A 10536-nucleotide genomic window follows, 5' to 3' on the forward strand; every position below is an offset into this window, starting at 1 on the left:
ACTACCATCCAGGGAGGGTTCTTGCCAGTATTTTCTCTATTTTTTCGTATGCTTTTAAAAATCTTCACAACTAAAATCATTCTGTGCACAGAATTTCACATACTACTTTTTATTCAATCAAAAATATTTTCTCATGTGTTTATTAATTCTTTAAATATTATTTTAATGGCAGTATAATTTGCCATCATATGACTATATTATAATTTATTAATAATTTTCCTAATAAAGGACATTCAGAGTGTTTAGAATTTTAGCCATTATAAATAGTATTAAATAAACATGGTTTTTGTGTGCATTAATCTTTACTTTTTAAATTATTTCCTTAGAATAATCTACTGGAAGTAGGATTACCAAATCAAAGAGTATCATCATTTTCAAGACTTTAGTACCTATCGCCAAGAAAGCTGTATCAATTTATATTCACAGTATATTAATGTCTTTCTGAAACTGACTGAATTGATTAATGTCATTTAAAAATCATGCTATCTTGTTAGGCCTCTGATACTTTGTATTTACTGGTAAGGCTGAAAATTGTTTACAGACTAATGAAACACATTATATATTAAGGTTATTTATTTTGTGCCTTAATATTTGAAAAAATACATCTTCTTATCAGTTTGCTTTTTGTCCTTTTTGCTGATTGTTTATGATCTTTTTTGACATACAAAAATTTTATTTTTCTCTATATTTCAATGTATTGAACTTTGTATTCTGTAATTTCTTCTATTACTGTAAAGTAGAGAAAATCTGCCTGTATCTAGATAAATATGCAGAAATACATTCTCGTTATTTAATTAATTTTTCAAAAATATTTCTTGAATTTATCTAGGATTTGTTATACGGCGTGAAAAAAATTTATTTTTCTCTGATAAGCTAAAAATCATCATGCACAATTTATTACTTTTTCCCCACAGCTTATATATGTATTCTATTGACACATATGCAAGATTCTTTTTACATATGCGAGATTATGTTTTGGGGTTTTCTTTCAGCACTTTACTGATCTCTTTGCCTATTCATTTATCAGTAGTTTCTCCATCCCTAGTCCTTTTCTTTCTTTTTTTCTTTCTTTTTTTTCTAAAGTTCTTTTAACTATTCTTATTTCTTTCAACTTAAAAGGTGGCCAAGATGACATACCAGAAGGCTGTCTAAAATTATTGGAGAAAGAGAATCTTTGCCTTTAAAGTTTTAGGTCTTAGGTGAAAACGATGCAGTGTTAGCTCTTGTGTCTATAAAGGGTGGGGTTCATGCTATGACACAGAAAATCAGAAAGGACTTTCTTGACATTTGTAGAAACAGTAATATAAAGAAGAATTAGGTACCTTTTGGTTCATCTTAAGTAAAGAAAATTTCCAGTGAGGAGATTGAGACATTTAATGTTAAAAAGATCCTCTCTCTTCTAGGGCACGAGTAAAGATATCAACCCATCTATCTGTAGAAAATTGCCAGAAACTGTCACAAAATAAAAAATGAGAGAAGGCCTGAATTACGACAGTCCTGGTGGGGTTCTACAAGGTGTGTGCCAAATAATTTTGTTTTCTTTTTAAGGCTTGTTAACAGTGGATAGCTTAAGGTGATGGGGTTATAGGTGATTTTTTTCTTGTCCTTATTTAACTGTATTTTCTTTTCTTTTTTTTTTTTTTTTGTCAAATGGTATAAAAGCTTTTTTTCTTAATAATGGCCTGTTAATTAACATCTAGAACCCAGTACTGGAAGCATTAGTCCCAAGAAGTGCAAAGTTACAAAAAGTGGATTTTCTATTTCTTCACCTCTTACCTTAATAGACACAGAAACACTAAAACTCATCTCATTAGAAGAGGTTTTGTGAAAATGAGACAGGACATAGCTAAACCAAGTGCTTTTCCTCCGAATAAGATTTCACCCAAAATGAGGTTGGGGACTGGATGAAGTTATGAAAAAACTACTCCTTAAAACTGCTATTTCTAAAGCTAATAGGAATTCTTTTGTAGTGGGCTTTTTTCCCTTGACAACCAACGACTGATACATCTTGCATGTTAAAAAGCAGAGGGCTATAAGTAAGTTTTCAGTGGAAATAATTTTTTTTCCCTGCACCTTCCCTTTTTGTGATACAGTTGGCACTATTTTACTGTCTTAAAGATTCCCATTTTACTTTAATGGTCTCTACTTTCCCCTTTTCTTAGCTCTTCTTAATTTTTATGCTTTTCATTAGTAGATAATTCTCTCTGGCTGACCAACGGGGATGAGGGTCAGAGTCACGGGCAATATACTATATCTGCGTTAGTCTGGCTTGAGAACAGCGAAACCGTGCCTCCTTCTCTAATTAGTCACTTTAAGTATCAGTGATGGGCAGTCTCTGTGACAATGATTTTGTCATAGTAAGCACTTGAAATACCTGCTGCAGTTTTTTCACCACCCCCCTCCTCCCCGTTTCAATCAGGCAAGTTTATCTTTGTTCTTTAAACCATAAGCAGGTTTTTGTATTTTTTTTTTTTTTTTTTTTGCATGCCACATTGAAAAGAAATAAAAACCAAGTGCCATACATGTCAATTAAAGGCATAAACAATTAAGAGATAGTCCATTTCCCCCTTGAATCTTTCATGCTTATTTTCCCTTCTTAGAATAACACTTAAAAGCCATCGAAGCTTCAACGGGACCAGTGTCTCCCCGTTTCGTGGGGTGTAGAGCAAGGTGTGGGAGGAGCGTTTGGCATGTCAAGTCTCTGCTCTACAGTGGATCTCCACGTCCCGGCTTCCAGTGGACAGCCCTGTGAGATGGGGAAAATTTCCTTCCGCTCAGATACTGTCAAGGCCAATGTGCCTTTCAGGAGATTGTCTGAGAGATTTCGAACATTGAAACTGTAAAAAAAATTGAGCTGGACAGATCCTTGCCACCACTTTTTCTGCTAAATATAGAAAAGTTGTCATCGGGTTGCACAAGCAATTTCCAGCTACAGCACCTCAGGAGGGGAGGCGGGCTCCTGTCTCTCATAGTTAAAGTGCATAGAGCTGAGCCGACCCTGACTCACGGGTTGTGAGGAACATGGGAAGGTGGTAGAAGAGTAATGAGAGAAAGGCGTCCTTGTTTTGGTTAAATATAATGACATGGGAAGATGTGCAGTTGATGATGGTATTTGCTTACAATGTCATAAAGCATCAATAATTTGCAAGAAAAGGGTAGAAGGAGCCCTACCCCAGGAGTCTGTGCTCAGAGTTTCTCCCCTATCATTGCTTTGGAAAACACTGTTGTATCGTGGAGGGAGACTGTGAGATATGGAGCCAAACAGGCATGGGTTGGCATCCCAGCTTTATCACTTACCCTTTGTTTGATTTGGAGTTAATTACTTAACTTCTCTGAGCCTGAGAGTCCTCATATAGAAGATGTGGGTAAAATAATATTCCTCTCGCAGCATCACTAGGATTCATGTGAGGAGTAAAGTACATGGCACTACTAAGTGCTCAGCATTTGTTGGCGCCCTTCCCCTTCTCCCCTTTTAGGCAAATCATTTAAGCCCCCTGGACATCAGTTGCATCTCTCTTAGCAAGTCCTATTGGTTCTACCTCCGGAATATATTTAGAATTTATCCACTTCTCTCTATTGTCATTGCTGCCATGTCAGTCCAACGTGTAGGCCGTTGCGATGCCTTCCTAACTGGTTTTCCTCCTTCTGTTTTTAAACCCAGTGCAATCCATCTCCACATAGCAGGCAGAGAGGGCATTTTAAAAATGTAAATCACATCATGCCCCTACCCTGCCTAAAACCCTCCCGTGGCTGAACTTAGAGTAAAATCCAAGCTCCTCACCACAGCCTTCAAAGGCCCATGTGATCAAGCCCCTGCCTACCGCTTTCCTTTTAGACTCCACTTGCTACTGCTTTTTTCTTCTATAAAATTTTTTTTTTCCGGTTGTACTGGCCCTTTTCAGTTTCCAGAACACTCCAAGTTTATTTCTACCGCAGGGCCTTTTAATTTGCTGTTTCCATGGCTTGGAAGATGCTTCTTCTAGATTCTCCTGTGCTTGAAACCTTCTCCTAGGTCAAATGTTCCCTCCTAAAATTTGTCATCCTTGACCTAGTCACTCTCTATCACAGCCCTAATTTATTTTCTTCATAGCACTTGTCACTATGTGAAAGTATCTTAAATACTGTTTATCTGTTTATTTTCTGTTTTCCCCCATGAGAATGTGAGCTCCAGGAAAAAAGGGGACTATGCTTTTCTCTTCTTTTAATTTTTTTTGAGACAGAATCTCGCTCTATTGCCCAGGTGGTAGTTCAGTGGCGTGATCTCAGCTCACTGTAGCCTTGACCTCCTGGGCTCAAGCCATCCTCCCACCTTAACCTCCTGAGTAGCTGGACTACAGGTGTGTACAACCATGCCCAGCTAATTTTTTGTATTTTTGTAGAGATGGGGTCTCGCCACATTGCCCAGGATGGTCTCGAACTCCTGGCCTCAAGTGACTCGTCTGCCTCAGCCTCCCAAAGTGCTGGGATTACAGGCAAGAGCCACCACACCTGGTGTGGGACTATGCTTTTCATTGCTGAGTAAACCTAGAACAATGCCTGTACCTAGGAGGCCCTTGGGAAGCATGTGAAGAATGGATTCTGAATAAATACGTATAATGGGATAAAAATATCGTCCTGAAAGTTGGTGACTGGATTTGAAAAATCTATGTCCTTTCCATTTCTTTTTTTTTAAGATGGAGTCTTGCTCTGTTGCCCAGACTGGAGTGCAATGGCACAATCTCAGCTCCCTGCAACCTCCGCGTCCTGGGTTCAAGTGATTCTCCTGCCTCAGCCTCTCGAGTAGCTGGGATTACAGGCATGTGCCACTATGCCTGGCTAATTTTTTGTATTTTTAGTAGAGACGGGGTTTCACCATGTTGGCCGGGCTGGTCTCGAACTCCTGACCTCAGGTGATCCGCCCGCCTCAGCCTCCCAAAGTGCTGGGATTACAGGCATGAACCACCACGCCCAGCTTCCTTTCCATTTCTAAAGATTCTATGATTCCTTGGACAGAAAGACTAAATCCTGGGATAATTTTAAAGAAACACAATTAGAAAATTTTCAAACACTCAACATACAGTAACTCATATTAAGTTTACCAAGTAGAGGCACTTCGGGTATCTGCTTTAATAAAAAAAAAATAAGGACTTATATTTTGCATGTCAAGTATTTGTATGTCAAAGGATCCTTCTAACCCATTTAAAAATTTGGTACCTTTAAGTAGCATTGCGATTCTCTGAGCAAACCTATTTAGAGTTTGCTTAGCATGCCCTTTCTTCACAGATCTTGAAAAGGAAAGTGACCCCACAATATAACACATCTGCTGAAAGAAGTGGCTCAGGTGAGCTCGGGCTGTGTGAATAGTATGTCCTTTAGCTCAGGGAGTCATTCTTTCCACTGTGCTCTGTGCACGTGAGACCACTGCTGGGGCCGTGCTTTAAGAGGGACACGGTAAAGTGGATCACATCCCAGGGAAGTAAGTAGAAACCAAGTGAGGAGAAAAAAAAAAGAAGAAAATGGGAATGCCTAACTTAAAAAGGAGGGGATGGTAGAGACCTGATAGTTGTCAATTACTGGGACCAAATCTGAAAAGACAGATTTGGTGCCATTCCGTGGGACAAATTTGGAACCGGTGAGTAGAAGCTACTGAAAGGCAGAGTTGGTCCAGTCAGTGTAGGACATTTCCAACAGTCTGGCCTCATACCTAAGTAAAGCCCTGCTTAGAAATATAATGAGCAGCTGCCTTTTCTGGATGTTAAAATTTCAGGCAAGTAAACTGCTAGTCAGCTATGTCCTTCCTACAAGGATTCCTCTTACTGTAGATGGGTAACATGCACACTTCCGGGAAGCTCTCAGTGAAATCTCTTCACACTGCTCGGCATAGTGGTTCACACCTGTAGTCCCAGTGCTTTGGGAGGCTGAGGTAGGAGAATCACTTGAGCCCGGAAGTTCAAGACCAGCCTAGGCAACAAAAAATTTACAAAAAAAATTTAAAAATTAGCCAAGTGTGGTAGTGGCATGCCAGTAGTCCTTGCTACTCTAGGTGCTGAGGTGAGAGGATTGCTTAAGCCTAGGCATTCAGTGAGCTATGATCACGCCATTGCACTCCAGCCTGGGCAACAGAGAGAGACACTGTCTTTAAAAAATAAATACAGGCTGGGCCCGGTGGCAGCCATTTGGGAGGTTGAGGTCAGTGGATTGCTTGAGCCCAGGAGTTTGAGACCAGCCTGAGCAACATGGCGAAACCCCACCTCTTTTAAAAACGCAAAAATTAGTTGGGCCTGGTGAAGTGCACCTGTAATCCCAGCTACTCGGGAGGCTGAGGCATGAGAATTGCTTGAATCCGGAAGGCGAAGGTTGCAGTGAGCCAAGATTGCGCCACTGCACTCCATCAGCCTGGGCGACAGAGCGAAACTTGGTCTCAAAACAAATACATACATACATACATGCACACATTAAGTTAAATTAAAAAGAAATCTTTTTATGTATTCTATGTTGGTTAATATTCTTTGGTTTGCATCAATAGTGTTCTTTCTACTCTGTCATGTGTGGAATATGATAAGTCTGCTATTGCTAATGACCTAGGCCCAGAGAACTTTGAATTTCAAAAGTTAACCTAGAATCTCAGAGATCCATGGTTTTATATTCTGACTTGGAAGCAAGTCACTGGCTATTTCCTATTCGAGAGATTTCTAATCTGGAAGGCTGAAGGAGGCTACCACTCTTCTTGGTGAACAATAGTTTGTGTTCCAAGAATAACCCTGGGTTTGAGGATAGAAGATAAGAAGATAAGGCTGGAGAGTTTAAGAGTTGTATTAGATCTCCTTTTAATCTGCAGCCTAGGCACTATGTTATTTTCTACCTATGCCTTCCAGCAGGGGTGGCTTATAACTCCAGGCAGAAGCTGAACCTCCTTGGCGACACCCCCTAGCCTGACCCCTCTTTTCTCCTTCCTTCTTTCCTTCCTTTGCCTTTCATTAGAATTCCTATGAGCCTTTGAATGCTTAGCATGAAAATGAGCCCATTTTATTTTTGGAACCCACAGAGGCAGCCCTGAGGGGAGTTATTGTGTTGCTTTTAGCAGCTAAACAAAAAGGTGTGAAATCATTTGCTGGCTGTTCTAGAATGGGAAAAAATAAATAAAAAACTGAGAAGGAAGGTTCAGGACAGTGTGTGGCAGCTTGGACAGAACCTCGTGATGAGGGCTTCTCTGAGACTTATTAGTAACCAAAGTGACTTTGGGAATGTCTGTGCATTTCTCTCACCTTCCCAGGAAGTTACTAGAATAGCACAGGAAGCCACTGGGATTAAAAAAAAAAGATTGATTTTGCAATACTATTTCCATGTTGCCTTGAAAAAGACTTGAGGAGGGGACTAATTTGAGAAAATTCCTTAAAGCTCTTTGTAACATTTCTTATACAGGCAGCATGAGGGAGAGGAGAGAGGACTATTTTACCAAGATTTTAAGACTTTCAAACAACCAGGGAAGGCTTCTGTGGACAGGTATGTGAGTCTTTGACACAGGCCCCTAATTATTTAAACACATTAACAGTGGTAAGAGACAAAGGCCTCAAAGAACTCAAGCAACAAGAACTTCTTGTGAAACTTGAGGTTTTTGCCCCATGCTAATAACATTCATTGAAAGTCGTCTCCTGTTTTGGGGGGCTGACGGCCCCAGATACGTCTCTTCTTGGAAGAAGATTATATTTTGAAATGTCTCTTCATTAGAAGGGCAACTTCATTTTCAATTGGAATCTTTGACATGGGATTTCTCTTTTTAAAAATTATGGAATATTTTTAAAACGGCAAAGTATTAACGTGTAAACATGCAGAGACATGGTAAACTCATGTCCTTATTCCCAAATTTTCACATCTGTTTTACATTTAGACCAATCTATTTGAGCTCATTTCAAAAGAAATGAAAGGTTATGGTTGTATCCTTCACATTTCCATGCCTCCTTCTCTCTCTTCCCAAAGAGACAAACCGTGTTCTGTGGCTGGTGTGTGTCCTCCTTCCTGGACTTTTAGGAAGTCCTGACCAAGTAGCCACTTGGCCTAATGAACATGACCTTTGGAGTATTTAGGGAGCCTGATTTCAGTGGCTGGAGGATCTCTCCTTGCGGGGGCCAATCACTGGGCCCGTCTTATGAAGGTGGCTAAGCCTTCTTTTTTTCAGTATTCAAGGCCAGAATTACAGTATAGTAAAACAATAGGAAAAGGCAATCCTCCTCAAAGTACTATTTCGTTAACTGAGTCATCTATAGAATAAATAATATTGATTTTCCCTTTATTGCCAGGAAGTATGCCATGTGCTGATATATAATGAGTCACAGATGAACAAGTAGAAATTAAAAACACTGTAATTCCAAAATCTCTCTTAGGGAAGGAACTGTCCCGGTTTACAAAAATTCCATGATAAGCTATGACCTTGAGGATATGAGTGGCAGGAATCAAGAGACTGTTGGGCGAGGAGGATCGTGGCATGAGGGAGGGGGAAGGAGAGAAGGAAGGAGGAGAGGAGGAAGTAGGAATCTCAGGGTGGGAGAGAGAGAAGATGGATGAGAGTGGCAAAAAGGACAAAGGAGGGAGATGAAAGGGCATGTGGCAAAATGGCTATGATGAAAAAAAAATCTACAGTGGCTCAGCTGCTAGAAGATTCTAACAACAAGGTCTTGACAGATAAATTTTTTTTTTTTTTTTTTTGAGGCAGAGTCTCACTCTGCTGGCTCACTGCAACCTCTGCCTCCTGGGTTCAAGCAATTCTCCTGCTTCTGCCTCCTGAATAGCTGGGACTACAGGCATGCGCCATCACGCCTGGCTAATTTTTGTATTTTTTTGTAAAGACGGGGTTTCACCGTGTTGCCCAGGCTGGTCTCGAACTCCTGGCCTCAAGTGATCCACCCGCCTCAGCCTCCCAAAGTGCTGGGATTATAGGCATCAGCCAAGGTGACCAATTTCCTTACAGATCAATTAGAAGTCATTTGTGTTAATGTGAAGGAAGCCCATTATTTACTACCCATCCTCTTCTTCCCACTGCAGTAAAATGTTCAGTGAAATAGGGTTTTTTTTTTTTTTTAAAAAATTAAGGGGCTGATTTCGTTATATGTTATCATACATATATACAGCATATACATATACGTGCCATATACACACAGACGCATATACACACTTCTCTATGTAAAAGATATCTGGATAAACTGAAACAAATCAGTAAAAAGCAGAAATTCCGCACCATATGTGAGCATGAAAACACAACTTCGGGGCCTCGCCCGTATGCTCTGAAAGCTAGGAATTCTCAGACACCCTGGCAAAGTCTTGACCTTCATTTGGCATTGGAAAAGTACATTGAGGGACATCTCAAAGGACAGGGAGAGTTTATTTGTCACCAGAGTTGAGGGCCAAGCTTATTGTTTCATAGTTTTCCACTGTAAGTTATAGGGAACATGATTTGAATATGGGGGTAAACTCTGAAGTCATAATTTATCAAACCTCTACCATAGCTGCCCAAATGCTCTTTTTCCTTGCTTCCAACTCGCAAACTCTTAATTCATCTTTTCAGATTCTATTTAAATGTCACCTTATCTATGGAACCTTCCCTGATTCCCCAGGGAGGGTAATTTCCTCTCCTGAACTTCTATATTTCTCCAGATATCTCTCTATTACAGCCTGTATCACATAGGATCACATGACTTTGAACCTTAATACAAGGTGGACCTCATGGTATCACTTTTGAATTCCCATTGCCTAGTGAGACATGTGTCACTTTTGCTGAATAAAACCCGGGTATGTGAACAATAAAGAGAAACTTAAAAGTGAATGCACTGCTTCAGAAAGACCAGACTTCCAAGCCCCCGAATGGTGGCACCACTGTCCCCCAATACTTTTGTTACTACTTGCCATTTGTTTTGCCCCTTGTTCCTATTTTGAATAAGAACCCATTGCTCTCCAGAAGTAAAAGCAATGTGACCATTTGTTTATTTACTCCCTGCACCAAGACCCAGGGTGATGAGGCTGGATTGCACATGGGGCGTGGGCATCAGAAACTGGAAAGTCTCACCCTGCCCAGCCTGTCTGGCTCGTATGCTTGGGCAAGTCACATAGCTCCTGTGGGACTCCGTTTCCTCACCCAGTGATAATGACCGGCTTCACAGGGTGGCTGCGGAGCTTAATTAAGGATTGAGAAGGAGGCAGAAAATACAAAGTGCAGCATACACGCAAATTTCCCATATTTATTTTTGGGCTCAGTAACCTGTTGGTAGGAGGTGTTTATGACCTGGAAGAGGAGTCTAGCAAGAGATGTAACTAGCTATTCTCATTCCAAAATGGTTCACTTGGTATTGACTGGGAAATGGGCCATGTCATTCTTGCTTTTGTTCGAGTACATTCTGTGGCCCTTCCTGCTAACTTTCTGGGTATAGCTTGCCAACTCTAGGCCTCAGTTTTCTTGTATAAGGACTTTATCTATCTTTCCTTTATGCTCAGATATGCTGTGATGGCTTAAGCTTTTTCCTTAGTGCTTATACCCTTAAGCCGCACTCAGATAGAAGACAGAGGGAA

General features: G+C 40.5%; 1 protein-coding gene and 1 long non-coding RNA gene across 6 annotated transcripts in view; one reads left to right on the forward strand and one right to left on the reverse strand.

The window, feature by feature from the left end:
• Positions 1-10536, reverse strand: part of RORA (RAR related orphan receptor A) — a 741019-nt gene that overhangs the window by 148474 nt on the left and 582009 nt on the right. The gene's annotated exons all lie outside the window — the stretch shown is intronic.
• LOC105370846 (uncharacterized) overlaps positions 1-10536 on the forward strand; it is a 30635-nt gene that overhangs the window by 4607 nt on the left and 15492 nt on the right. For 2 of the 3 annotated variants that reach the window (XR_007064665.1, XR_007064664.1), the window contains 2 exons: positions 1404-1515; positions 2601-8270. This is a non-coding gene — a long non-coding RNA (uncharacterized LOC105370846). Of the gene's footprint in view, positions 1-1403; positions 1516-2600; positions 8271-10536 lie in introns of those variants that run through there. The other variant, XR_007064663.1, reaches the window with a different exon arrangement.

The sequence above is a fragment of the Homo sapiens genome, chromosome 15, assembly GCF_000001405.40.
Source record: "Homo sapiens chromosome 15, GRCh38.p14 Primary Assembly".
Taxonomy (NCBI): domain Eukaryota; kingdom Metazoa; phylum Chordata; class Mammalia; order Primates; family Hominidae; genus Homo; species Homo sapiens.